Genomic DNA, 27,129 nt, shown 5'->3' on the forward strand with positions numbered 1-27,129 from the left:
TAAACATGGCAAGAGCTTCCCGCTGAACTGGGGTAGGGGAAATGACCAGAAAGACATTTACTGGATTTGGCAAAGGCAGAAGCAGAAAAGAGAGCTTCCTCTGGCTCCAGGAGTCTATTTCTTGCCTCAGCGGGCTCCTCTGCCCCCCAGCCTGGGGCCTGCCCATCACACAACACGAGAGGGCACCACTTAGACCCCTTCACCTGCAAACCGTGCGCCTGGGAGTTTTTGGTGCCGAGACCCTGTCCCTGTGGGCACCCCTAACATGCCCTATATTCAACAAACATGCATGAAGCACCTACTAAGTTCTCTGATGAGTGACGACCAGGAGCTTCCAGTGTTGTCACCATGGTCGGGGAAGGGACCTTTATATAGTTGAGGACTGTGCCATGTGAAAAGTGCCAGTGATTGGATGAGCTGCAGTGGTCCTTGACCCCTACCTTAGACCTTCATGCATCCTGCACTTGTGTCTGTTGCATGCCATGTGAATTCTGATTTCTGCTAATCAGCGAATCAGCTGAGGAAGGGATATTGCAAGCATTGCACTGGGAGCAGTTCTCTTTGGGCACTGTTTCCATCTTTGCTCCTGCAAGTTTGTCATTTGTGCAGGAACTTGAAATCCGTGTTAGGTTTTATCTTGACAGCTGCTTTATCCAGTGGAAAATGGAAAAGTGGAAATATTGATGCACTGATTAGAAGTGTCGTTGCATCTTCCATACGTAACCGCATTCAGGCACTGATGGACTTCAAGATGTGGGCTGGATGTGGTAAACTGCTGCCTCCATCAGGTGCTCATTGGAGTTCAACGCACTGGACCGTGTGTTCAGTTGTGATGTAGCAGGACAAGCCACAGACAAAACCCCTCAGACACCGAGTTAAAGAAGGAAGGGCTTCATTCGGCTGGGAGCTTCAGCAAGACTCATGCCTCCAACAACCGAGCTCCCCGAGTGAGCAATTCCTGTCCCTTTTAAGGGCTCACAACTCCAAAGGGGTCCGCATGAGAGGGTTGTGATTGATTGAGCAAGCAGGGGGTACGTGACTGGGGGCTGCATGCACCGGTAATTAGAATGGAATAGAACAGGACAGGGATTTTCACAGTGCTTTTCTATGCAATGTCTATAATCTATAGATAACATAACCGATTAGGTCAGGGGTTGATCTTTAACTATCAGGCCCAGGGTGTGGCGCCGGGCTGTCTGCTTGTGGATTTCATTTCTGCCTTTTAGTTTTTACTACTTCTTTCTTTGGAGGCAGAAATTGGGCATAAGACAATATGAGGGGTGGTCTCCTCCCTTAGTGAAGGAAAAGGACACAGGTCACACACGCCAACACCAGCAGTTTCATTCTTAGGGAAGTTCTTGGGCAAGTGCACTGAGTCATGAGAAAGTTGATAGCCACCCTCTTTGATATGGCAAAACAATGGGAATGACCGCAAACCTCCCTCAGTGAGAGAATGATAGGGTCACACAACGAAATATTACATAGCAGTGAGACTGAACGAACTACGTGTCAGTGAATCAGAGAAACATATAAATGAGGCCGGGCCAGGTTGTCATCCCTCTAATCCCAACATTTTGGAGGCCCAGGTAGGAGGATTGCTTGAGGCCAAGAGTTTGAGACCAGCCTGGGCAATATAGTGAAACCTCATCTCTCAAAAAAAAAAATATACAGCCAGTCATGGTAGCATGTACCTGTAGTCTCAGCTACTTGGGAAGCTGCGGTGGGAGGATCAGTTGAGCCCAGGAATTAGAAGTTGCAGTGAACCATGATTGTGCCACTGTACTTCAGCCTGAGTGACAGAGTGAGACCCTGTCCCAAGAAAAAGAAAAAAAAAAAAAGCAGCCGGGCACAGAGCCTCATGCCTGTAATCTCAGCACTTTGGGAGGCTAAGGCAGGAGGATGGCTTGAGGCCGGGAGTTGAAGACCAGCCTGGGCAATATATTGAGAACTTGTCTCTAGTAAAAATTAAAAAATTAGCCGGGCATGGTGGTGTGCACCTCCCAGTTACTCAGGAGGCTAAGGTGGGAGGATCGCTTGAGCCCAGGAGTTTGAGGTTGCAAAAAGCTATGATTGTGCCACTGCACTCCAGCCTGGGCAGCAGACTGAGACCCTGTATCAGACACACACACACACACACACACACACACACACATATACACACAAAGGAAGTTCGAGAAAAGCACCAGACTGAGACCCTGTATCAGACACACACACACACACACACACACACACACACATATATACACACAAAGGAAGTTCGAGAAAAGCACCAGCTGGGCGTGGTGGCTCACGCCTGTAATCCCAGCACTTTGGGAGGCCGAGGCGGGTGGATCACCTGAGGTCAGGAGTTCAAGACCAGCCTGACTAATATGGTGAAACCCCATCTCTACTAAAAATACAAAAAAAGGAAAAAATTAGCCGGGCATGGTGGTGTGTGCCTGTAGTCCCAACTACTCGGGAGGCTGAGACAGGAGAATTGCTTGAACCCAGGAGGTTGAGGATGCAGTGAGCCGAGATCGCGCCATTGCACTCCAGCCTGGGTGATAGAGCGAGATTCTGTCTCAAAAAAAAAAAAAAAGAAAGAAAAGAGAAAAGCATATCACAGCAGAAGACTATATTCAAACCATTTATATGAAGCTCAAAAATGAAGCAAAGTTAAGAAAAATGTAGGGATGTATGGGTAGTGAAAGTTAGGTTGGTGGGCTTTCCTGGGTATTTTATGCTTCATAAATTAACTTTTATGTATGTAGCTTTTACATACATTATATATATGAATTTGCATGTATTCAGTATTATGTAATACATTAAAAACAATGTTCGCAATGCTAAAAATATATTGTTGAAGATTCTGTGTGAAAGCTATACTGTAGTTGTGGCTTTTTATAACCCTTTCAAGCCCTCTGGGCAGTAGCAGTCCACCCCTTATTGCCCTCAGTGGACTTCACCTTCTAGGGACTCAGAATTTTTTTTTTTTTTTTGAGACGGAGCTTCGCTCTTTTTGCCCAGGCTGGAGTGCAGTGGCGTGATCTCGGCTCACTGCAAGCTCCGCCTCCCTGGTTCAAGCAATTCTCCTGCCTCAGCCTCCCAAGTAGCTGGGATTACAGGAGCCTGCCACCACGCCCAGCAAATTTTTTGTATTTTTAGTAGAGACAGGGTTTCACCATGTTGGCCAGGATGGTCTCGATCTCTTGACTTGTGATCCGTCTCGCCTCGGCCTCCCAAAGTGCTGGGATTACAGGTGTGAGGCCCAGCTGGGACTCAGATTTTGCTGAGGACCAGGACAGTACTGTGTGCTGTGTCCTGGCCTTGCAGCAGTGAATGTGTCTCCCGTTTCTCAAGGGCAGGTCTCTGGGATGCCTGACTGTGTCTTCCTTGCCAGTGCCTGGCTGCTGCAGCCTCCTCAAATGTTTATCAAACACAGGACTTGCCCACCGTGGGAGAAAGTAAGGCCATAGGTGTCTCAGGAACCTGCCCAAACTCGCCTGGCTGCACGGTGACAATTCAACCAGCTTTCTTACCCAAGGTCTGTTGGTGACCAGAGAAAACCTTAGATGACCGGCTGCCATGATGGCCTTATATCTGTCCCTTTTCTGCCAGCCTTGAGGTAGAGGGTGCCAGGGAGGAGGACTCTGGCTCTAGGTGTTAAAGTGAGAGGGAAGTGTGAAGGGTATCTGTATAGCTAGACAGGGCTCAATGCCAGGCAGAGCTGTCTCCGCCCCTTTGATGTCTATGTCTCTGTCCCTGGACTGTGGCCAGTAGCCAGTGTGGACTCCAACCTCACCAGCTTTAGGGGTGTTATCTGCCTGGGAGTCACTGATCCTTACTCCCTCCTCTGACAGCCACCTTGGATGGGGTGAAAGGAAGGACAGCCTGCCAAGTATGAGATAAAAACGCCTCATAAACAAGAAGGGATTTGCAGGCCAGGCAGAGAGCCTTGTGCTGCTTCTGAGTCCCAGGAGCATGGGCGAGGAGGTGAGGTCAGGCACTCAGCAGCTGCTGGTCCTCTCTGAAATCTTTGGCCAGATTTATTGCTACTGCTTGCTAATAAATGGTTATGCATTTGGTTCAAAGGACCAAGTGTGCTTACATGAAAACTGGCTGTGTTCCCTGGCCTCTGTTTCCTTAGCTGGTTGGACTAATTTGATTGGTTAATAAATGAGTCCAAGGTGGTTGGGCTAATTTTTATCTTAGATTCTATGACTCTATAACTGCTACTCAAAAAAAGTGTACTTGTTCCTTTAATCTTTAATCTTATTTTTCTTGAGTAGTAGAATACACCCAATTTTTTTCAAGGGGTAGAGAATGCATTTTTTTTTTAACCTTCCAGTTTGGTCCCTAGAGTAAACACAGCATTGCTGTAGTAGATGTAGGGTACTGGAGGGAGCATGGAACAGGGAACCAGAAGCCCTGGTTCCTACCCCAGCTGGGCATCTGGGCCAGTCTCTTGATTCCTCTGTGCCTCAGTTACCAACTATATAACGGGCATTCTGCCATGAATACCCTGCGATTTGGAAACCTCCTGTGTACGTGTGCACTTGGGTGCCTGGCATTCATTCCTAATGGCATCCATTCGTTCACACATTCATCCAGTACTCAGCAGACTCCTGCCATGGGCCAGGCAACGTCCCGGGCACTTGGAATATAATGGAGAACAAAGCAGGGTGCCTACTTCTGTGGTGCTTGGAGTCTTGAGGGGAAGAGAGACACGGAATTCGTAATTACATGGCAGCGTGTGGGTGACGTATTGCAGAATGAGGGCCTAGTGGAGCTGGGGGACCGGAAACGATGTTTAGGCCGAGACCTGGAATAGGAGGAGTTGTCGTGGGGATGATGTAGGAAGAACGAGTGTGAGGAGGAGAGCGAGGGGAGTTGAGGGGAGGGCTCCACACCTTCTAAGGAGTGGGGAGAGATGAGGCCTCCAAGGACAGAAGGGCCCTGCAGGCCACGCTGAGGAGCTTGGACTTCATCTTGTGGATGGTGGCAGGCCCTTGAAGGGTTTTCTAATCCAGGGAGTGGGGTGGCTGGATCATGGCTTCAGAAGGCTCTCCCAGGCAGCTGGATGGTGAAGACCAGGTTGGGGAGGTCACCAGGAGAATGCTGCCCTAATCCAGGCAGAGGTGACGGTAGCCTGGGCCACTTCATCATTATCACTGAGGCCTCTCGTGGCTTCCTCAGACCAGAACGAAGCCCCCTTCTTCAGTGGCTGTGGGCTCACCAAGTGTCTTCTCCCTCCTCCAGAGGTGGCGAGAGGCGTGCTGACCAGTCTGCCAGGAGACAGCGTGACTCTGACCTGCCCGGGGGTAGAGCCGGAAGACAATGCCACTGTTCACTGGGTGCTCAGGAAGCCGGCTGCAGGCTCCCACCCCAGCAGATGGGCTGGCATGGGAAGGAGGCTGCTGCTGAGGTCGGTGCAGCTCCACGACTCTGGAAACTATTCATGCTACCGGGCCGGCCGCCCAGCTGGGACTGTGCACTTGCTGGTGGATGGTGAGTTGTGCCTCAGAGGTCCCGGAGATAGTTCCCGTAAGAAATGAGGCTTTGTGCATTCCAGACAGTCCCTGTCTGAGCCTTCAAACTCCCACCATTTCCTTGGCGCAAGAATTTTGGGGAAGGCCCACCAATGTCTGCCATCCAGATGCTGGCAAAGACTGCTGCTGGGTGGGAGTGGGAGCGTCTGACTGGTGGGGAACATTGGCTTTGGGAGTTAGGACTTTTGGTGAACTGGTGAATAGCCTGGGGCCCGGAGTCAGGCAGCCTGGGTTTGAATCCTGCTCCCTCACATACAGCTTAACTTCTCCACCCTTCAGTTTCATCTTTGGCAAAATAAGGTTAATTTTATTACCTTACCTTAGAGTTGTTGCAAAGGGGGTGTATGTGAATTTGCGTATGTGTGTGTGTGTATATCACACACATATGCTGCTAAAAAGTCTGCATAGCCCATCCTAAGCTCTCAAATTAGCTATTCTTATTTTTTTAGAATTAGCAAGTTCTTAGCTCCCTCATACCTAGATAAAGACTTCCTGGAACCAGTGCCCTGTGTGTCGAGCCCTATGCCAAGGCACTTTCTTCCTTGTATCTCTTGTAATCCTTCAGCAGCCTTGTCAGGGAAAGCAGGCTTATCATCATTTCCATCATCATTACATTATCATCAGTTTATTTTATACATGAGGAAACTGAAGAGCAGCTAGGACTTGCCCAAGGCCGCACAGCCAGGTCTGTGTGACTCCAAAGCCCTTTTTTTCGATCATCCTCTCTCCCCTTCAGACAAGTTGGTCCTGAGGTTCTTCCCTTCCCCTGTCCCGGATCCGTGTCTCAGACTGAAAGGAGGACTTTGGTGTCCTTTAATTTCCCAGCTGCGATTCCATTCATGTGTGGCTGAGTGTGGCCAGGGTCCTGACTAGCTCCAGGGCTGGGGCCGAGGGGCCCAGCCACGTGCTCCCCTCAAGGGAGGCTGCCCTGTCTGCGAGGTCAGTGCGCCCCAGGATCCCCGCCCGCCTGCTGACACCTGCAATGCTTTCCTTTCAGTTCCCCCCGAGGAGCCCCAGCTCTCCTGCTTCCGGAAGAGCCCCCTCAGCAATGTTGTTTGTGAGTGGGGTCCTCGGAGCACCCCATCCCTGACGACAAAGGCTGTGCTCTTGGTGAGGAAGTTGTAAGTATCTTGGGCTGAGCTATGTGCATGTTGGCTCCCTCCTTCCCGAGGCCCCCCAGAGAGGGGCTGGTTCAGGTGATTTCAAAACATTATCATTAGGAATTAATTCCTTCAGGCTGAGGAAGAGGAGATGAGAGGGAACTGAGATTTACATTTGACTGCCCCCCCTGAGCTAGGCACTGTGCTTGTGCTTGGAACCTTGTCCTATTCACTTGACCTTGGTTATCACAACAGCTATGGGAAGTGGGCTTTATTTTTCTCACTTAACAGATGGAGAGACTGAGGCCCAGAGACTGATTAACAGGTTTGGTTCACTTAGCTAGTAAGTGGCTCTGCTGGGAATTCAATCCCAGTCTGTCTGATTTCATTCAAAGTCCGAAGATTATGGGCGTTGCTCTGAAAAACATGCAAATATCCCTGGGAGGGGGTGTAGCACAGCCAGACCATTATCAGTGTCTGGGCCCTTGTGGGCGTATCAGGCTATTTCCATGATAAAGACACGAGAGAGAAAGCGGTGATGGGCGGGGGAGAGGGAGCTTGGGGCCGTGGGGGGAGAAGTCACGCCTGCCTGGGGGCTCTGCATCATCACCGGAAGACGGCTTAACGTGGGAAGACCTGGGATGGGTTCAGGCATGGATGTAGAGGAGGTGGAAGATGCTGAAAACAAATCTGCCTCTGCAGTTTTGCTGGTCTCCATCCCAGAGCCACAGTCTCCCTTAGTCCAGAGGTTTACAATTGAGTTTGAGCTGTCAGTCATCAGAATATAGGGCAAGGAGGTCGCATTCCAAGACCCCTAGTGGATGCCTGAAATCGCAAATGGTGCTGAACCCTATATATAGTATGTTTTTCTATAGATATGTACTTATGATAGTTTAATTTATAAATTAGGTGCAGTAAGAGGTTAGCAATAACTAAAAATAGCATAGAACAGTGATAACAATATACTGTAATAACAGTTATGTGAATGTGGTCTCTCTGTTTCTCAAAATGTCTTATTACTGTACTCACCCTTCTTGTGATGATATGAGGTTGTGAAATGCCTGCATGATGGGATGAAGTGAGGTGAATGATGTAGGCATTGTGACTCAGTGTTAGGCTACTAGGGCTTTCTGACCATGTGTTAGAAGGAGGATCAGCTGTTTTGGGTGACTCTGGGTCACCGAGCCATGATGATGGCGGTGGATGTCAGGACGAGTGATGGGTAGCATGCACAGCGCAGGAATGCTGAACAAAGTGATGATTCATGTCCTGGGCGGGACGGTGTGAAATCTCGTCACACTTCTCAGAACAGTGGGCACTTTAAAATTTCTGAAGTGATTATTTATGGAATTTCCCATTTAATATTTTTGGACCGCAGTTGACCACAGGTAGCCGAAATCTTGGAAAGCAAAACCTCAGATAAGGCAGGACTACTGTATCAGAAAGCCAGAGCAGTGACTTCAATAGGGTGGTTCAGCTCCCACTTGGGTCTGTTTCCATAGAGTTACTGGGCTGCCTGGCAGTCATGTTTTTGTTCTGTCCTCTATGATGAAAAGTGCGGATTACCATCTGTGAATGATGCAGCTGCCATTAGCACTGTCAGCTCATGCCCCAAGCCTGGATAGCTTCACAGCCCAGCAAAGGATACACCTTGTTTGTACCTCAAAGGCTTGTACCATAGATAGGATTAGCCAGGATAGAGACTGTGGCTGGCAGCTTCCCAGGCCAGCCTGTGGAAAGCTCTGTCATTTCTGACACTTCAACTGAAATACTTTTTTTTTTTTTTTTTTGAGATGGAGTTTCGCTCTGTCGCCCAGGCTGGAGTGCAGTGGTGGGATCTCGGCTCACTGCAATCTCCGCCTCCCGGGCTCAAGCGATTCTCCTGCCTCAGCCTCCTGAGTAGCTGGGATTACAGGCGCACACCACCACGCCTGGCTAATCTTTGTATTTTTAGTAGAGATGAGGTTTCACCATGTTAGCGGGGCTGGTCTCGAACTTCTGACCTAGGGTGATCCGCCTGTCTCGGCCTCCCAAAGTGCTGGGATTACAGGCGTGAGCCACCGCGCCCGGCTTGACTGGAATACTTTCCATGTTGACAGCGGGAGTGGGAGAGAGTACAGTGCTTGTCCTCCCGAGCAGCCTCGTGCCTTTGCTTCCATCTGCTTTGAAGAGTCAGCATGACCACTGGGCGCCTTTGAAGTGAGGAAAGAGCAGGGGAAGTGGCTTCGAGAGCCTCAGGGGCCCCAGCCCCCACTGAGGCCCCACCCAGACCTCAGGCCACTGCAGGGCCTGGAAGAGACAGGCCCCTGGAAAGGGATTACTGGGAGCTCTGCTTTTTCTCTTGTGTGTCTGCTTTCACACCCTTGCCCAACTGCAGCACTGCTCCCTCCTTCTTCCACAGGCAGGGGTGAGCTCAGCCTCTGCCTTGGACCAGGCGCAGTGCTGGGGCAGTGGGAGGAAGCGGGCCAACAAGACTGAGCCCCGGCCCTCTGACCCCACCTGGGCACACACGTAAAGCAGTCGGTGACCCTGCCTTCGTGGCTGGGTGGAAGCCTGGGTGGTGTTGGGGGAAGGAGGAAAGGGGCTTTAACTCAGCCTGGAAAGGTTGGGTTTGTCCCATGTGCTGGATTCAGCAGGAGCCCAGGGTTCGAACCCAAGTCAGAGGTGGCAGACTCGTCACCCCAGCTGGAGGGTGAGTGGTTGACGTGGCCTCACATGCCCACATGTGTCATAAGAGGGTGAAGCCTCAGGTTTCCAGGCCAGGTGGGATGGTGGCTGACTCACCTCGAATGTCTTCAGTTACCCAGAATTCTTTTCTGGACTCACCTGCCAGAACCCCTCTAGCACTTTTTGTGTCTCTGGAGTGGCATTTCTGCTGGGTGTCTAGTCATCTGAGGACAGATCTTTTTTGTTAGTGCCTTGAAGGCAGGGTGGGGCCTCTCTTGATTCATTTCTATATCCCCTACAGTGCCAAGAGCACAGGCCCAGCGGGAGACCAGAGCTGGCCAGCCGACCATTGCCTGAGTGACTAGCTGAGCCCTCCAGCCTAGCTCCCCTCACCCCTCGTGCCAGGCGCTAGGCTACATGTTTATATATATTTGTAAATCCAGCTAGTTTCCTCATCTCTAGATTTTACATTTATTGCTCAATTTTTTTTTTTTGAGATGGAGTCTCTGTCGCCCAGGCTGGAGTGCAGTCTCTGTCACTGCAACATCTGCCTCCTGGGTTCAAGTGATTCTTCTGCTTCAGCCTCCTGAGTAACTGGGACTACAGGCATGCGCCACCACGCCAGGCTAATTTTTTATTTTATTTTTTGTATTTTTAGTAGAGACAGGGTTTCACCATATTGGCTAGGCTGGTCTCGAACTCCTGACCTCATGATCTGCCTGCGTTGCCCTCCCAAAGTGCTAGAATTACAGGCGTGAGCCACCGCGCCCGGCCTTATTTCTCAGTCTTAACAGAACCAGCCACGTGTGATTGTTCATGCCTGTAATCCCAGCACTTTGGGAGGCTGAGGCGGGCAGATCACCTGAGGTCAGCAGTTCGAGACCAGCCTGGGCAACATGGTGAAACCCCATCTCTATTAAAAATACAAAAATTTGCTGGGCACGCTCAGGAGGCTGAGGCAGGAGAATCTCTTGAACCTGGGAGGGAGGCGGAGGTTGCAGTGAGCCGAGACTGCGCCACTGCACTCCAGCCTGGGTGACACAGTGAGACTCTATCACAAAAACAAAACAAAACAAAAACTTAACCCCTACTAGGTAAGTAGTATTAATATTCCTATTTTCAAATGAGAAAAGGAGACTTAGAGGCACAGGGCTTATAAGTCTGGAGCTGGGATTCAAACCCCGGGATTCCACTTCCCCCTTCTGTCCCGTCTTGAGTCTGTGCGAAACTGACAGGCAAGCCCTGCCCTTGTTTTGTGTCTAACAGTCAGAACAGTCCGGCCGAAGACTTCCAGGAGCCGTGCCAGTATTCCCAGGAGTCCCAGAAGTTCTCCTGCCAGTTAGCAGTCCCGGAGGGAGACAGCTCTTTCTACATAGTGTCCATGTGCGTCGCCAGTAGTGTCGGGAGCAAGTTCAGCAAAACTCAAACCTTTCAGGGTTGTGGAATCTGTACGTAAGCTCTAACCCCCTCTCCAGCAGTTTCCTTCTCTTTTGATTTAATACTCCTTATCGACTTCTCAGAGTGGCAGGGAAGGGGTGGTTGAGGGGTTTGGTGAGTTGGTGCCTTTTGGGCGTTGCTTGCCGGGAGGTGTGGCAATGATAAAGCAGGCCCTTGTGGAGCTGTGCATGGGGAGTGAACGGGGCTGGGTGGGGCCCTGCTTGCTGGGATCTCAGCCTACATGGGCTTCTCTACACTATATTTGGTGCTGCAAAGGAGTCATGCTCACTTTTCCCACAGTGCAGCCTGATCCGCCTGCCAACATCACAGTCACTGCCGTGGCCAGAAACCCCCGCTGGCTCAGTGTCACCTGGCAAGACCCCCACTCCTGGAACTCATCTTTCTACAGACTACGGTTTGAGCTCAGATATCGGGCTGAACGGTCAAAGACATTCACAACATGGATGGTAAATTTATGTTTTACTTCTGGTCAGAGAGGCGCCCCTAGATGCTTAGGCGTAGTAGAAAGGGTACTAGAGGCCAGGCATGGTGGCTCACGCCTGTAATCCCGGCCCTTTGGGAGGCCAAGGTGGGCGAATCACTTGAGGTCAGGAGTTCGAGACCATCCTGGCCAACATGGTGAAATACCGTCTCTACTAAAATTACAAAAAATTAGCTGGGTGTGGTGGCGCACGCCTGTATCCCAGCTATTCGGGGGCTGAGACAGGAGAATCCCTTGAACCTGGGAGGTGGAGGTTGCGGTGAGCAGAGATCACACCACTGCACTCCAGCCTGGGCGACAGAGTTAGACTCCATGTCAAAAAAAAAAAAAAATAGAAAGGGTACTAAAAGGAAAACCATAGGCTCTAGTTCCTGCTTCACAATTGGCTACCTTCGTTGCTTTGGATAAATGTTTTAAGCTTTCTGAGCCTTGGTGGTATATCATTTATTAAATGAAAAGGATAATGCCAGGCCAGTCTCCTCTTCCCGGGCTTGTCTGTGAGGAGAGCAATGTGGGAAGAGATTTGGGCTGTAGACATGTCAAGGGTTGTGGCTTGCAGGATTCTATAGTGCATGGGTGGGGCAGGGACTTTCTGCTTCAGCTTCCGTGGGCCCTGAGGGCAACCCCCTCTCTAGCAGAGCCTCTGGGGTTGTGGGAGCCTCTAGAGGCCTCTGCCAGCTGAAGCACAGGGCTGGCCAAGGCACCAACCCACTGGGGTGCTACCTGCCCAGCACCATCCTGGATACCTCCCCAGAGTCACCGTGCCCCCGCCCTCAGGTCAAGGACCTCCAGCATCACTGTGTCATCCACGACGCCTGGAGCGGCCTGAGGCACGTGGTGCAGCTTCGTGCCCAGGAGGAGTTCGGGCAAGGCGAGTGGAGCGAGTGGAGCCCGGAGGCCATGGGCACGCCTTGGACAGGTACTGCGGTGGGCACTGAGAAAGGAAGGGATGTTTCAACTGTCATTGCATCAGGTATCCATTGCTATGTGACAAGTTGCCTCAAAACTAGTGGCTTAGGCCAGGTGTGGTGGCTCACACCTGTAATCCCAGCACTTTGGGAGGCTGAGGCGGGTGGATTGCCTGAGGTCAGCCTGGCCAACATGGTGAAACCCTGTCTCTACGAAAAATACAAAAAATTAGCTGGACATGGTGGCAGGTGCCTGTAATTCCAGCTACTCAGGAGGCTGAGGCAGGAGAATCTCTTGAACCCAGGAGGCGGAGGTTGCAGTGAGCCGAAATCGCGCCACTGCACTCCAGCCTGGGTGATAAGAACGAAACTCCGTCTCAAAACAAACAACTAGTGGCTTAAAAACGACCATCATTTATCGGCTTGAAATTTCAAAAATACAGTCAGTTAGGCAGCTCTTCTGCTGGTCTTGCCTGAATCAGGAATGCAGCTGCCATCAGATTGGGATGGTCTGAGATGGCCTCAGTCACATGTCTGACGATGGTGCTGGCTGGTGGCCGAGGCCCTGGGTTCTCCCTGTGGCTTCTCATCCTCAGCTGCCAGCCCAGACTCAGGGCAGGCGGGTGGGGATCCCACCACAGCTGGAGGGATGCACTGCAGAGAAGTTAGCCGTATTTAATCTAGGGCTTTTTATTTTTTTCAAATGTTAAAGGTAGTAATAATTGCCATTGGGGATTGTTGAAATTAGAGCATGAAAAATTCCAGAAAGATATGAAGAATAATTATCACCAGTACTTTTACTCCCTAGAGAAAACCAGTGAGAACATGTTAGTATGCTGCTTTCCTTTTTCTAGGTACATGTATGTGTGTGTGTATTTATATATATAAATGTAATATTCCCCATGTTGTCAATTACTTTTGGAAACTTATTATTTAGTAACTGCCTGATTAATACATATATTTTAAAACTCCATGGAAATTTGTTGTTGTTGTTGTTGTTTTGTTTGTTTGTTTTGAGACGGAGTCTCACTCTGTCACCCAGGCTGGAGTGCAGTGGCATGATCTTGGCTCACTGCAAGCTCCGCTTTCCAGGTTCATGCCATTCTCCTGCCTCAGCCTGCCGAGCAGCCGGGACTACAGGCACCTGCCACCACGCCCAGCTAATTTTTTCTATTTTTTAGTAGAGACGGGGTTTCACCGTGTTAGCCAGGATGGTCTCAATCTCCTGACCTTGTGATCCACCCGCCTCAGCCTCCCAAAGTGCTGGGATTATAGGCATGAGTCACTGTGCCCGGTCGGAAATTTTTTTTAACTTAAATTTTTTTTTTTTTGAAGACAGGCTTTCTCCTCGTTGCCCAGGATGGAGTACAGCAGTGCAATCACAGCTCACGGCAACTTCTGCCTCCTGGGTTCAAGCAATCCTCCCGCCTCAGCCTCCTAAGTAGCTGGGACCACAGGCGTGTGCCACAATGCTAATTTTTTAAAAATGTTTTGTAGAGACAGGGTTTCACCATGCTGCCCAGGCTGGTCTCGAACTCCTGGCCTCAAGTGATCCACCAGCCTCAGACTCCCAAAGTGCTGGGATTACTGGTGTGAGCCACTGCACCTGACTAAACTTTAAATTTTTTTTTTTAGACGGAATCTCGCTCTGTTGCCCAGGCTGGAGTGCAGTGGCATGATATTGGCTCACTGCAAGCTCTGCCTCTTGGGTTCACGCTATTCTCCTGCCTCAGCCTCCTGAGTAGCTGGGACTACAGGTGCACACCACCACGCCCGGCTAATTTTTTTTTTTTTTTAGTAGAGACGGGGTTTCACTGTGTTGGCCAGGCTGGTCTTGAACTCCTGACCTCGTGATCCACCCGCCTCGCCCTCCCAAAATGCTGGGATTACAGGTGTGAGCCACCGCGCCTGGCCTAAACTTTTAAAATTTTAATCAAATTAATACATGCACATGGCAAAGAAGTAATAAACAGCTTATAACACTGAGCAGTGGTCCCTTGTCCCATGCCTTCCATTTCTAGTCCTGCTTTCTAAGGAAGCTGCTTGACTCTTTCTGTTTCTAGTTCCTCTGTTGGTGCCCTCCTTAACTCTAAACAACAAGCTTATATGGCTTTTTTTTTTCCCTGATAAAACCACTTGAGACATTATCTATCAACACCCTGCTATGAAAGGTTAGGATTTAGCAGATCTAGAATGCAAGAATCTCCCTGACCACAACCCAGAGAGTGGTCAGCCAGCCTCTGCTTAAATGCTTCCAGAGACAGAGAGCTTACTACCCCTTGCAGCAATCTGTTTTATTGTTCCCAGTGTTTTTGTTGTAGAATGGCTTCATGGCTCACTTTGGGGTCAAATGTTTCTAGCCCTGTGGCGTAGTTGAACCAAATTAATCATTCTTAAATACTTGGCAGTTAGGAAAAAAAAAAGAATAAGATACCCATTTATTTGAGTAAGTATGGATAAAAAGGAAAAGGTAGAATTGACATCAGTCCCATCCCGACCCCTGCCACTTTCTCCCAGCCCTGGCCCCAGGGAGAGAAGGCTTTTATCTATGGGCTGCACATTCTTCCCCCAGATTGGATGGTGTGGGGTGATGGCTCTTCCTCCTGGCTGGCTTTGTACTGTGGGGTCCTTGTCCCTTGTCTTTCCTGTCCTGGGGAGAGCCAGAGGAGTATGCTGGGGCTTAGGGTGTAATCCTAGTTGGATGCAATAATATGAAGTGCCGGCTTCCATCTTTGTTGGCACTTTCCTTGTTCATCAAGGACAGGAGGCAGCTTTCTATTGGGCCCTCTCCTCAAAAGCTTTTTTCCTGCTCAGACCTGGACAAGGAGTGGGGCCTAACTACTATATCTTACTTAGGGAGACCATTTTAATAAATCAGTGCATCCTTCAGGGTAGATCGTATTGACCTGTCCATGGTTTTCTTTGATTTGTGTATACTTTGAGCCAAACACACTCATTTATCTGAATGCTGAGCATCAGTATGGCTTTGGGGGCCTTTTTAAGGGGGGAAAAATCAGCTCTAACATCGTGCAGAGGAATAGGAATTCCAAATATAGGCTGATCCCTATTTTACCTTTTATTCCAACCACTTAGTTCAGATAGTCACAAGCAGCTTAAAGCTTGTGACAAGCAGCTTAAAAGCAATCTTGCTTTTTTATAAAGTTTCTTCTAAAAATTTTCAAATTGTAAAATGTACATAAGATTTACCATTTATATTATTATTATTATTTTTTGAGACGGAGTCTCGCTCTGTCGCCCAGGCTAGAGTGCAGTGGCGTGATCTCAGCTCAATGCAACCTCTGCCTCCCGGGTTCAAGCAATTCTCCTATCTCAGCCTCCCGAGTAGCTGGGACTACAGGCACCTGCCACCATGACTGGCTAATTTTTATATTTTTAGTGGAGATGGGGTTTCACCATATTGGTCAGGCTGGTCTTGAACCCCTGACCTCAGGTGATTCACCCACCTCAGCCTCCCAAAGTGCTGGGATTACAGGCGTGAGCCACCGCGCCCTGCCCATTTATATTATTTTTAAGTGCACAGCTCTGTGGCATTAAGTATTGTTGTGCAACCATCACCACTTTACTTCTCCAGGACTTTTTTCATCTTGTAAAACTGAAACTCAGAATCTGTTAAACAGTAACTTTCCTTTCACCCACTCCTTCCCCCAGCTCGTGGCAACCACCAGTCTACTTGCTTTTTCTGTGAGTTTGACTACTCTAGTACTTCATTTGCTTGCTTGCTTGCTTGCATGCCTGCCTACCTGCCTGCCTGCCTTCCTTTGTCTCTTTCTGTCTCTCTCTTTTTCTCTTTTTTTTTGAGACGGAGTCTCACTCTGTCACCCACCCAGGCTGGAGTGCACTGTCGTGACCTTGGCTCACTGCAACCTCTGCCTCCCGGGTTCAAGCAATTCTCCAGCCTTAGCCTCCTGAGTAGCTGAGATTACAGGCGCCTGCCACCATGCCTGGCTAATTTTTGTATTTTTTGTAGAGACAAGGTTTCACCATGTTGCCCAGGCTGCACTCTAGGTACTTCAAATAAGTGGAATCAGAGAGTATTTGTCCTTTGGTGACTGACTTATTTCACTTAGCATAATGTCCTCAAGGTTTATTCATGTGGTATAACATGTGTCAGACTTTCCTCCCTTTTTAAGGCTGAATAATATTCCATTGTGTAGAGATACCACATTGTGTTGATTCATTCATTTGTCAGGGGACACTGGGTTTGCTTCCCCATTTTGGTTGTGCATAATGCTGCTATGAACACGGGTGTAAAATATCTGTTTAGATTCCTGCTTTCAGTTCTTTTGTGTATATACTCAGAATTATAATTGTGGCATTATATGGTAATTCTATTTTTAAATTTTCATGGAAATGCCATGCCGTTTTCCACAGTGGCTGCACCATTTTACACTTACACCAGAGTGTATAAGGGTTCCAGTTTCTCCACATCCTTGCCAACATTTGTTATTTTTCATTTTGCTGCAATAGTCCTCCTTATGGATGTGAAGTGTTATCTCACTGTGGTTTTGATTTGCATTTCCCTAATGATTAATGTCTTTTTTTTTTTTTTTTTGAGACAGAGTCTCACCCTGTCACCCAGTCTGGAGTGCAGTGGGGCGATCTTGGCTCACTGTAACCTCCACCTCCTGGGGTTCAAGTGATTCTCGTGCCTCAGCCTCCCGAGTAGTTGAGATTGGCATGCACCACCACACCCAGCTAATTTTTGTATTTTTAGCAGAGACGGGGCTTTGCCATGTTGGCGAGGCTGCTCTTGAACTCCTGACCTCAAGTGATCTGCCCATCTATGCCTCCCAAAGTACTGGGATTACAGGCGTGAGCCACCACACCCAGGCTGAGGATCTTTTCATGTGCTTCTTGGCCATTCATATATCTTTGGAGAAATATCTATTCAAATAGAAAGTTCTTTCTTATGTGAACCTAACTCTGGCCTCACTGGCCCTTGCTCTGTTCTCAGGGATAACCAATGACAAATTTCCTAGTCTGCTCTCTCTGAATTCTTTTGGAGTTCCCAGACCTGCATCTGCTTGGGCTCCTCTTCCCAGGCTGTTACATGAGATGGTCTGTGAATTCTTCACCTTTCTGGCCCCCTTCCCCTGAATCTGGTCTCATTTGTGGATGTCCCTCTTTAAGTTGCTGACACTCTCCTTCTATTGGAAGATGGTGTGGTGGGGGCTGTCTGGCCAGCACTGGGTACGGTCTCCACTTTCCAGCCTCAGGTGGATGTGCTTCTTTGGCATAGACACAGCTTCTGTGGGAGCTCAGATAGAACAGTCGGTTTCTTCTCATGTAAGGAGCGGAAGACTTTGAGCCCTCCACCCTATGCATGTGTGGTTTGAGGCAGGGGAAGTCTTCAAAACCCAGTTGTGAATATATCCAAGAAAGAAACCTGCTGCTCCCCTCTCTGCTGAGGGAAGAGCAAGAGGAACTTGGATGATTTTGACGCAAGAGGGGGATTCAGGTTGGAAATTGGCGGGCAGTTCTGAAAAATAAGGGGAAGGTTAGAGCACTAGGTGAGGTGTGTGTTATGGACCACGGTTATTTGGCTGTTAGGGACGCATCAGTGTACTAAACACTGTATCACCGTGTGGGGTGAGCTTACCCACCCCAAGGACCTTCAGCTCTCAAGGCCCAGACAGACAGGATGCACCTGCCTCCCAGACTAGGTGTGGGAGTGGTGGCCTTTGGGAGACACAGAGGTCCTGGGAAGCACCTGGGAGTCAGGTTGTATGACACTGGTAAAGTTAGTTCAGCTCTCAGAGCCTCAGTCTTGTCATCGGTAAAGTAGAGATGATAGCACCAATCTTGTTCCTTTCAGAGAGTTTTTGTGAGTCTGATGAAAAAATATTCTTTAGAAATGCTAAAGCATACTGCATTTGTAAGGGGATCAGCAATTACAGGACAGTGCTGGTTCTTGGGAGGAGAGTGGGACCAGGGGCATCCCAGAATCACTATCCTGGATGCCATCGTGAACTCACTGCATTGGAATCTGGAGGAGGAAGTAGAGTGGGTGGTTTGAGAAAGCTTTCCTGGTGGTTTTAGTATGTGCTTGAGGGGGCTGGAGGAGGGTGCGTGCCCCACTGTAGTATGTCTAATACGTAATAGATGGTGTTCACAGCACGATAAGGCCGTAAGCAGACTGTTCTGTTGGGGCAGTTTAGAGATAGCAGGAAAAGCTTCATGGAGGAGGTGACAATTGAATTATGTCTTGAAGGATGTGTAGGAGGGTCCCAGACAGAAAATGGGGATTGTAGGCAGAGTACAAAGGCACGGAGCTGTGAGCAAGGGGAGGGTGGCAGAGAGCTGCTTGGTGAGGCCGACACGTGTGTGGGTGGGTGGTCTGAGTGGGACAGGTGGAGGCCGGCCTTGGTGGGCCCCTGTAGGAGTGGAAGTGGAATGCCATAGAGTGGGGCTCTGGAGCCTGGACTTCAGCAGGTGCTGCCCCCTTGAGGCTGGGGCCTGGCCCCCCGCACAGACTGTAGCCCAGGATAGCCTTTTGTATGAAGTTGGGGGTCCCAGGGTCACTCTGTCTTAGCCCTGCTTTGGCCAGCAAGGCCAGCACGGTCGGCAGCTTTCTCTCAAGCGGGAGTTCTGAATTTATCCTCTCCTGATGGGAGTTCTCCCTGTCACATCAACATTGAGTCTGGGGGAATCACAAAATCATTTTCTTCTTTTTTTTTTTTTTCAGAGATGGTATCTCATTCTGTTGCCCAAGCCGGAGTGCAGTGGCATAATCATAGCTCACTCCAGCCTTGAACTCCTGCCTCAGCCTCTGAGTAGCTAGGACTATAGGCATGCATCACGATGCCCAGCTAATTTTTTAAAAAATATTTTACAGAGATGAGGTCACCCTATGTTGCACAGGCCTTGAGTGATCCTCCTGCCTCAGCCTCCCAAAGCTCTGGGATTTATAGCCATGAGCCACTGTGCCAGGCTGGAGCCCCTTTTCAAAGAGGGCGTGGGGCAAAATGCCTGGGAAAAGCCCATTAGGTATAAGGGGGTTATTCCTTGCTTCTCACAAATAATCCCTTTAACTCCCTCTCCTATTCCCCAAGAATGGGAATCACACCTGTTGGAGGAGGTGATACCAAAGGTTTGCATTTGCACATGAGGGGGTGCCCTGAAGCCAGGACTGGGCGGTCAGTGCCTCCAGCTACACGTTATCTTCTCAAACTCTTTGGCCATCCATTCTGGAGGAGTTTGTTTTGTTCCTCTCTGCAGCACTCCCAAGTGGGACATTCTGGGGTTAAAGAGCCTTGGTTACACATTTCCGGAGAGATTTTGCCCTGTTCACTTATCCATATGGCATCCCTGAATTCCCTCTCTGCCCTGTTTTCTGCAGCTTTCTGGAACATTCCACTGGGGCCCCGCCCACTTCCACTGCATCACCTGCCACTTTGTGCAGAGCACTGGCTCTGGAGTCAGGCAGCATTGGGTCTAGTTGCTGCCCTTGCCCTTGACTAGCACGACCCTGGGGAAGTACCTCACTGAGACTCAGTTTGCTTATTTGTCAAATGGGAATAATAATGCCTGCCTCAAAAAACCCAAACCCCAGCCTTGCTGGGTTGTGAGGCTTCAGTGAGGTGAGAAGCAATTAGCACAGAGCCTGGCACATGACAAGGGTGCAATAAATGCCAGCATGACTGCCTTTCACCCGTATCTCCTGCCAAGCCTGTCTCTCGAGCTTTGGATTCATGTCTTCAACTTGGCCCAGACTTCTGGCCAGATCCTCCCTCCTGTGCCAGGTGCTCCGCATGACCCAAACCAAACATATCACACCCCTCACAGATCTCCCTGCCCTGCTTGTCCAGGGGACACCCCACCCACCCAGCTACCCAGCCAGGAGCTTGCACATCGCACCAAATGTCTCTGCCTTGGTTTGGGTTCTTGCCACATCTCAATAGCATCTAGCAGTCAGCCATTCTGTTGCACTCCACTCTTCGTGCCCCTCTCCACGACCCTCCTCCCTCATCCTCGCATTGCCTATCCGCCTGACATCCTTGTGCACAACTGGGTGATTCCTAAACGTTGGGATTTCACGGGTCTGTAAAATTTCAAAAACAATTCTGGGGACCAATTAAAGTTGCTAGCTTTTTTTTTTTTTTTTTGAAACGGAGTTTCGCTCTTGTTGCCTAGGCTGGAGTGCAATGGCGTGATCTCAGCTCACCGCAACCTCCACCTCCTGAGTTCAAGCAATTCCCCTGCATCAGCCTCCTGAGTAGCTGGGATTACAGGCATGCGCCATCATGCCCGGCTAATTTTGTATTTTTAGTAGAGACGGGGTTTCTCCATGTTGGTCAGGCTGGTCTTAACTCTTGACCTCAGGTGATCCACCCACCTCGGCCTCCCAAAGTGCTGGGATTACAGGCATGAGCCACCGTGCCCGGCTGGTTGCCAGCTTTTAATTTTGCTAAGTAAGGACATAAAATGTAACAAGTAAGTGATAAATAACTATTAGCATTTACCATCACCATAATTTCATAAAAGAAAGGATGCTTGGTCAGGCGTGGTGGCTCAGGCCTATAATCCCAGCACTTTACGAGGCTGATGGGGGAGGATTGCCTGAGCCCAGGAGATAGAGACCAGCCGGGCACCATAAGGAGACCCTGTCTTTACAAAAAAAAGTTAAAAAAAAATTAGTTGGGCATAGCAGTGCACACCTGTAGTCCTAGCTAAGTGGGAGGCTGAGGTGGAAGGATCACCTGAGCCCAGCAGTTGGAGGCTGCAATGAGCTATGATTGCACTACTGCACTCCAGCCTGGGCAACAGAGGGAGACCCTGTCTTAACAACAAAAAGACTCCTTAACTGCCCCCCACACCCGCCCCCCCCAAATGAGGAAGGGTGAAACCTCAAAATGAGGGGCGCTTTTGGCACCCAGACACTGTGGAGATTTGTACACACAGCCTTTTCTGTACTTGTCTCCACTAGGCTTCTCTCCACAGACCATCCCGGGTGGCATTTGGGACCCAGCTGGAGGTGAGTCATTTCTCCTCAGGAGGCTCCTCAGTGAGGTTTATTTATTTGTTTCTACACGAATAGAGGAGCAGTGATGAGCTGTCTGTTGGGTGGTTTAAAGGCTGCGAGGAAAGGTGTGAAGTAGGGTCCCCTTGCTCAGCACGCAGGAGCTGCCTGGCGCCACTGAGCCTGTGGGTCCCACGGTCTCTCCTCCCCTCTTCCTGTGGCTTTGTGGTTCATTACCACTTTAACCCCAGAAACCTGAGCCGCCAGAGGTTACTGGGCATTCTCTGGGCCACAGGCTGTGTTGGGGGTCAGGACTGAGAGTAGAAACTTTCTTCCTGAAGCATCTGTCTTGAGTATAGTATGGGGAGCCTTTAAAAAACCCTAATGACAGCTGGGCGCGGTGGCTCACACCTGTAATCTCAGTACTTTGGGAGGCTGAGGCGGGCGGATCACCAGGTCAGGAGATCAAGACCATCCTGGCTAACACGGTGAAACCCCGTCTCTACTAAAAATACAAAAAATTAGGCGGGTGTGGTGGTGGGCGCCTGTAGTCCCAGCTACTCAGGAGGCTGAGGCAGGAGAATGGCTTGAACCCAGGAGGCGGAGCTTGCAGTGAGCTGAGTTTGCGCCACAGCACTCCAGCCCAGGCGACAGAGCGAGACTCGGTCTCAAAAAAAAAAAAAGCCCTAATGACTGGGTCCCATTTCCATGGTTCTGAGGCAACAAGCAAGGTGGAGCCTTCAAGGCTCCAGACGAAGCTGACTCTGGCGGGGTTTGGAAAACTGCTGAACTGCACGAGCATCCATGGGCAGCCATATTTTCTATTTAGGGCTGCCCCATCTTCTTCTTGTTTTCTTCTTTTTTTTTTAGAGATGAGGTCTCACTATGTTACCCAGGCTGGTTTCAAACTCCTGGCCTCATGGGATTCTCCAGCCTCAGTCTCCCAAAGTGCTGGGATTACAGGTGTGAGTCCGGCCTGCCCCCATCTTCTTTGTCTTCTGATTTTAGCTTTCATTCTAGTGCCTCCATGCCCTCAGGTCATCCTTTAGATACCCTGGGCTATAAGTGTGTAACTGTCCTCTGCTGGGCTGGGAAGAACGCAAAGGAACAATAAACTGGGTCCCTCCCATGAATTCTAGGTTCAATTCAGGTCGCACTTGCTGTGCGGCCTTGAACAAGTCGCTTTCCCTCTCCGGGCCTCTGTTTCCCCTCTGTACAATTGGAAGAGTGGATGCATTCTTATACTTCCTCTGGTGCTGCTGGTGTGTGGTTTCCCCCTTACTGGTGATGGCATACTCCAGGAATTCTGGAAACCCTCCCTGACGCCGAAGCAGGGTCACCCTCTCCCCGCCTCCTTGCTAGTCCTTACTCCTGGCCCAGCGAGGCTCGTGATTTTTGTTTAAACCATTCTGTGGAATTTTAGAATTCTTGATGGAAAAATGATGAGCTGACAAGAAAATGTTTTGAAATCCAGAGCATTCCACTCACTGCCTGTTACGGTTAAGGCCCAGGCTTTCGCTTGGATACTTAGCCTCCTCTTGCCTTGGGGTTTCCGCAGAAACACTGTTCCCGTGCAGGGGGAGGGAGCCGTGAGGGTGCCTGGTCCACATCCCTGCTGCTGCAATGTGTACTAAACCCATACAGGCAAATGAATATTTATTTGTTATATATTTTTTATTGCAAAAAGGTGCATAGAAGGAAATTGAAATAGTGCTTATCTCTGGTGATGTGTATCTTTCCATTTTCTTCTTCCTGTGTGCAAATATATAGTATTATGATATATACTGTGTTACACAATAATCATAAAAATATATTTCTTTAGAAAGTTTGAATCAAAATACATAGAATTTTTCTTGTCTTGCATTCTTCATACAGCATTATGTCATGTCTTCAATGTTTTTCTAAAATATTTTTGGCCAGACGTGGTGGCACACGCCTGTAGTCCCAGATACTTGGGAAGCTGAGATGGGAGGATCACTGAAGCCCAGAAGTTAAAGCTACAGTGAGCCATCATCATGCCACTGCACTCCAGCCTGGCGACGGAGCGAGACCCTGTCTCAAAAAATATATAATAATTGGCCAGGCACGGTAGCTCATGCCTGTAATCCTAGCACTTTGGGAGGCCAAAGCGGATAGATCACCTGAGGTCAGGAGTTCAAGACCAGCCTGGCCAATATGGTGAAACCCTGTCTCTACTAAAAATACAAAAATTAGCTGGGTGTGGTGGTGGGCGCCTATAATCCCAACTACTTGGGAGGCTGAGGAAGAAGAATCGCTTGAACCCAGTAGGTGGAGGTTGCAGTGAGCCGAGATTATGCCACTTCACTCCAGCCTGGGCAAAAGAGTGAAACTCCATCTCAAAAAAAAAAAAAAAAATATATATATATATATATATATACACACACACACACACACACACACACATATATATATACACACATACATATATATACACATACATATATATACACATACACATATATATATATACACATACATATATATATATAAAATAAATTTTAAAAGTTTCTGCATTATGTAGTTATGTCATAATTTCTACAGCTAGTCCCTTACGGTTGGATATTTGGTTATTTCCAGCATGCTGTTTTTTGTTTTGTTTTGTTTTGTTTTGTTTTGTTTTGTTTTGTTTTTGAGACGGAGTTTTGCTCTTATTGCCCATGCTGGAGTGCAATGGCATGATCTCGGCTCACTGCAACCTCCGCCTCCCGGGTTCAAACGATTCTCCTGCCTCAGCCTCCCGAGTAGCTGGGATTACAGGCATGTGCCAGCACACCCAGCTAATTTTGTATTTTTAGTAGAGACAGGGTTTCTCCATGTTGGTCAGGGTGGTCTCGAACTCCTAACCTCAGGTGATCTACCCATCCTCCCAAAGTGCTGGGATGACAGACGTGAGCCACCGCGCCCAGCCCATGCTGTTCTTTTAAATAACATTGAGATGAACTTTTTTTTTCTGATGCTGAAGCCCCTGAGACAGGACTCCAGGGCCCATGAATCACTAATAATGAGCCTTTCTTCTGTCCGCAGAATCCAGGAGTCCTCCAGCTGAGAACGAGGTGTCCACCCCCATGCAGGTGAGCTCCTGTTCTTGTAAAAGGGTCAGGGCTGCAGCACCTCGTGTTTAGGAGTGTGGGCTGATGCCAGACCGAATTTGGTTTAAATCCAGTTCTGTCACTAGTAGAAATGTGGTCGTGGTGAGTTACCTGTGCTTTTCAAACCTCTGTGAAAGGGAATCATAGAAATTATCTTGTCCCAGGACTGTAAGGAGTGGAGCAGCGCTGGCCTGGCGTGCAGAACTGCTCTGCGTCTAGCAGCTGCTATTTCATCTCTGAGCTTTTTGGACAACGCTAATGGCTTAGCTTGAGATTGGATTCTGTTTATCTGCATCCTTCCCCTGTGGACTCTTGGTGACATAATTTGCTGGAAAGAGGATTACCTCTGAAGCTGCTTAACAAATTCCTTGAGTAATCCAATTTCCTATCCAACTATATCTCCTCCTGTGGCCCTTAATTCCCTAAATGCTAAGCTGGGAGTCATAGCCACTTCTGGAGCTGTGCGGCACAGGGAAGGAGCCTGGGGCTCTTGAACCTTATCTGTGTTCCATGTAGGAACAGCTGCAGGTGAAGCCCATACCCATGGGGCTAGAGTGCTCCCAACACGGGTTCTGGGGAAACTGACACCGACTGAGGACTGGCCACATCCTGCTAAACTGTGAGCCTTGCATTTGCTGTTTCATTGGCTCCTTATGTTAACATTGCAAGGGAGTGCTTGTAAGGGCTTTTTTTTTTTTTTTTTTTTTTTTTTTTTGAGACGGAGTCTCGCTCTGTCGCCCAGGTGGGACTGCGGACTGCAGTGGCGCAATCTTGGCTCACTGCAAGCTCCGTTTCCCGGGTTCACGCCATTCTCCTGCCTCAGCCTCCCGAGTAGCTGGGACTACAGGCGCCCGCGACCGCGCCTGGCTAATTTTTTTTGTATTTTTAGTAGAGACGGGGTTTCACCTTGTTAGCCAGGATGGTCTCGATCTCCTGACCTCATGATCCACCCGCCTCGGCCTCCCAAAGTGCTGGGATTACACGCGTGAGCCACCGCGCCCGGCCTTGTAGGGCTTCTTAACGTGAGTTAAGTCTGAGGCCAGGGCCGGGCACAGGGGCTCACACCTGTAATCCCAGCACTTTGGGAGGCTGAGGCAGGCAGATCACCTGAGGTCAGGAGTTCAAGACCATCCTGACCAACATGGAGAAACCCTTTCTCTACTGAAATACAAAATTAGCTGGGTGTGGTGGCGCATGCCTGTAATCCCAGCTATTTGATAGGCTGAGGCAGGAGAATCGCTTGAACCTGGGAGGCGGAGGTTGCAGTGAGCCGAGATCATGCCATTGCACTCCAGCTTGGGCAACAAGAGTGAAACTCCATTTCACAAAAAAACAAACAAAAAAAAAGAAGTCTGTCCAAGGTGACATAGCTCGTAAGTGGTGGAACCAGCATTCCAGTCATGGTAGTACCTGCATCCTTGCATCGGACCTGTAAGGACAACAGCTGCTTCAGTGTATCCACTGAGCATCTTCTCTGTGCAGCTTTAAGCTTTTGGTGGAGAGGCAGGTGGAAAGAAAGCCCCACCTTTAGCAGGCATGGTGTGGATAGAAAAAATGCAAATAATAGTATTATTGATTTTTCCACTGTTATGAATGAAATGGAGAAAGGAATGCTTTGGGTGGATCAGGGAGGGCTCTGAGGAGGAGGTAACTCCTGAACTGGTTCTGAATGATGGTGCAATCTGCAGAAACAGGCTGATGGTGAGGAATGTCTCTTTTAGGCACTTACTACTAATAAAGACGATGATAATATTCTCTTCAGAGATTCTGCAAATGCGACAAGCCTCCCAGGTAAGGACTGGGTATTTTCATATTCCCAGGGTCCGAGGGACAGAAGATTTGTCTCTGCAGAAAGTCCTTTCTTATTTGGACATGTCGTCAGAGGATCAATCACAGATCAATCGCAGAAATGTTCTGTGTGTGTGTGTGTGTGTGTGTGTGTGTGTGTGTGTGTTGGAGAGAGTCTTGCTCGGTTGCCCAGGCTGGAGTGCCGTGGCATGATCTCGGCTCACCACAACCTCTGTCTCCTGAGTTCAAGCGATTCTCCTGCCTCAGCCTCCCAAGTAGCTGGGATTACAGGCGCATGCCACCATGCCCAGCTAATTTTTGTATTTTTACTAGAGACAGGGTTTCACTATGTTGGCCAGGCTGGTCTTGAACTCCTGACGTTGTGATCCACCCACCTCGGCCTCCCAAAGTGCTGACATTACAGGCATGAGCCACCGTGCCTGGCCAGAAATGTTCTTTTATTACTTTATATGTTGAACTTTGATATTGTTAGCTAAGATATAATGAGGAGACCGTAAGAAAAGTGGGACAAATCACTTCGAGATATTTGAAAAGTGAGATATTTCACAGTTGGCCCACAATACAAATGAATGTGCTGCAAACAAGATTATTGGAGTCTGAAATGGAATACCTGTTGAGGGAAATCTTTATTTTGGGAGCCCTTGATTTCAATGCTTTTGATTCCCTATCCCTGCAAGACCAGGAAAGCTTACCAGTATTTGAATCAAGAAAGATCACAAGTCCTGTGTTTGACTAGGTATATGGGACTTATGGAATCCAGACTCCAGAGGTTCAGTAGTTGAGCAGCTCCCCTGATGACTCTTGGGCTTCGTGAGGCAGTCCTTGCCCTCGTTCCCCATCCCTGGGTGGATTCCTGCCTGCACTGATGCTGGCTGCCTCTGCTACAACAGCCCAGGTACAAAGCCCTACCATGGTGCAGTGCACCTGTGGAGGACCTGCTAAATACCTGGGGCTGAGCTCTGCACAGTTGGGGACTCGGAGAGGATTAGAGCCATCCCTGTTCTCAAGGAGGCTACAGTCCAGGCTCTGACAAAGAGTAAATTGGTAACTGTGACAAAGACCAGCATGTGAGATGGGCCAAAAGGGAG

General features: G+C 49.2%; 1 protein-coding gene across 18 annotated transcripts in view, besides 7 other annotated features; it reads left to right on the top strand.

Moving 5' to 3' along the window:
- Positions 1–27,129, top strand: part of IL6R (interleukin 6 receptor) — a 64,108-nt gene that overhangs the window by 18,615 nt on the left and 18,364 nt on the right. For 5 of the 18 annotated variants that reach the window (NM_001382769.1, NM_000565.4, NM_181359.3 and 2 more), the window contains exons 2-8: positions 5,239–5,487; positions 6,526–6,649; positions 10,562–10,743; positions 11,033–11,199; positions 12,012–12,153; positions 24,168–24,214; positions 25,954–26,023. In NM_001382769.1, the coding sequence (NP_001369698.1) occupies positions 5,239–5,487; positions 6,526–6,649; positions 10,562–10,743; positions 11,033–11,199; positions 12,012–12,153; positions 24,168–24,214; positions 25,954–26,023 (981 nt within the window). Of the gene's footprint in view, positions 1–5,238; positions 5,488–6,525; positions 6,650–10,561; positions 10,744–11,032; positions 11,200–12,011; positions 12,154–13,477; positions 14,129–21,089; positions 21,138–21,992; positions 22,086–24,167; positions 24,215–25,953; positions 26,024–27,129 lie in introns of those variants that run through there. The other 13 variants (XM_017001199.2, NM_001382771.1, NM_001382773.1 and 10 more) reach the window with 7 other exon arrangements.
- Positions 2,737–3,237: an enhancer, noted in NCBI's record as "H3K4me1 hESC enhancer chr1:154399170-154399670 (GRCh37/hg19 assembly coordinates)". NCBI's record gives its function as "activates a minimal SCP1, AML or CMV promoter by ChIP-STARR-seq in naive H9 embryonic stem cells {active_cell/tissue: H9 hESC(naive)}" and the evidence as "EXISTENCE:reporter gene assay evidence [ECO:0000049][PMID:30033119]".
- Positions 3,238–3,738: an enhancer, noted in NCBI's record as "H3K4me1 hESC enhancer chr1:154399671-154400171 (GRCh37/hg19 assembly coordinates)". NCBI's record gives its function as "activates a minimal SCP1, AML or CMV promoter by ChIP-STARR-seq in naive and primed H9 embryonic stem cells {active_cell/tissue: H9 hESC(naive and primed)}" and the evidence as "EXISTENCE:reporter gene assay evidence [ECO:0000049][PMID:30033119]".
- Positions 8,060–8,893: an enhancer, noted in NCBI's record as "NANOG-H3K27ac-H3K4me1 hESC enhancer chr1:154404493-154405326 (GRCh37/hg19 assembly coordinates)". NCBI's record gives its function as "activates a minimal SCP1, AML or CMV promoter by ChIP-STARR-seq in naive H9 embryonic stem cells {active_cell/tissue: H9 hESC(naive)}" and the evidence as "EXISTENCE:reporter gene assay evidence [ECO:0000049][PMID:30033119]".
- Positions 8,894–9,725: an enhancer, noted in NCBI's record as "NANOG-H3K27ac-H3K4me1 hESC enhancer chr1:154405327-154406158 (GRCh37/hg19 assembly coordinates)". NCBI's record gives its function as "activates a minimal SCP1, AML or CMV promoter by ChIP-STARR-seq in naive H9 embryonic stem cells {active_cell/tissue: H9 hESC(naive)}" and the evidence as "EXISTENCE:reporter gene assay evidence [ECO:0000049][PMID:30033119]".
- Positions 9,726–10,559: an enhancer, noted in NCBI's record as "H3K4me1 hESC enhancer chr1:154406159-154406992 (GRCh37/hg19 assembly coordinates)". NCBI's record gives its function as "activates a minimal SCP1, AML or CMV promoter by ChIP-STARR-seq in naive H9 embryonic stem cells {active_cell/tissue: H9 hESC(naive)}" and the evidence as "EXISTENCE:reporter gene assay evidence [ECO:0000049][PMID:30033119]".
- Positions 18,579–18,678: a silencer, noted in NCBI's record as "silent region_1358". NCBI's record gives its function as "represses an Ori minimal core promoter by ATAC-STARR-seq in GM12878 lymphoblastoid cells {active_cell/tissue: GM12878}" and the evidence as "EXISTENCE:reporter gene assay evidence [ECO:0000049][PMID:35858748]".
- Positions 21,328–21,827: an enhancer, noted in NCBI's record as "H3K4me1 hESC enhancer chr1:154417761-154418260 (GRCh37/hg19 assembly coordinates)". NCBI's record gives its function as "activates a minimal SCP1, AML or CMV promoter by ChIP-STARR-seq in naive H9 embryonic stem cells {active_cell/tissue: H9 hESC(naive)}" and the evidence as "EXISTENCE:reporter gene assay evidence [ECO:0000049][PMID:30033119]".

Source organism: Homo sapiens, chromosome 1 (assembly GCF_000001405.40).
Source record: "Homo sapiens chromosome 1, GRCh38.p14 Primary Assembly".
NCBI lineage: Eukaryota > Metazoa > Chordata > Mammalia > Primates > Hominidae > Homo > Homo sapiens.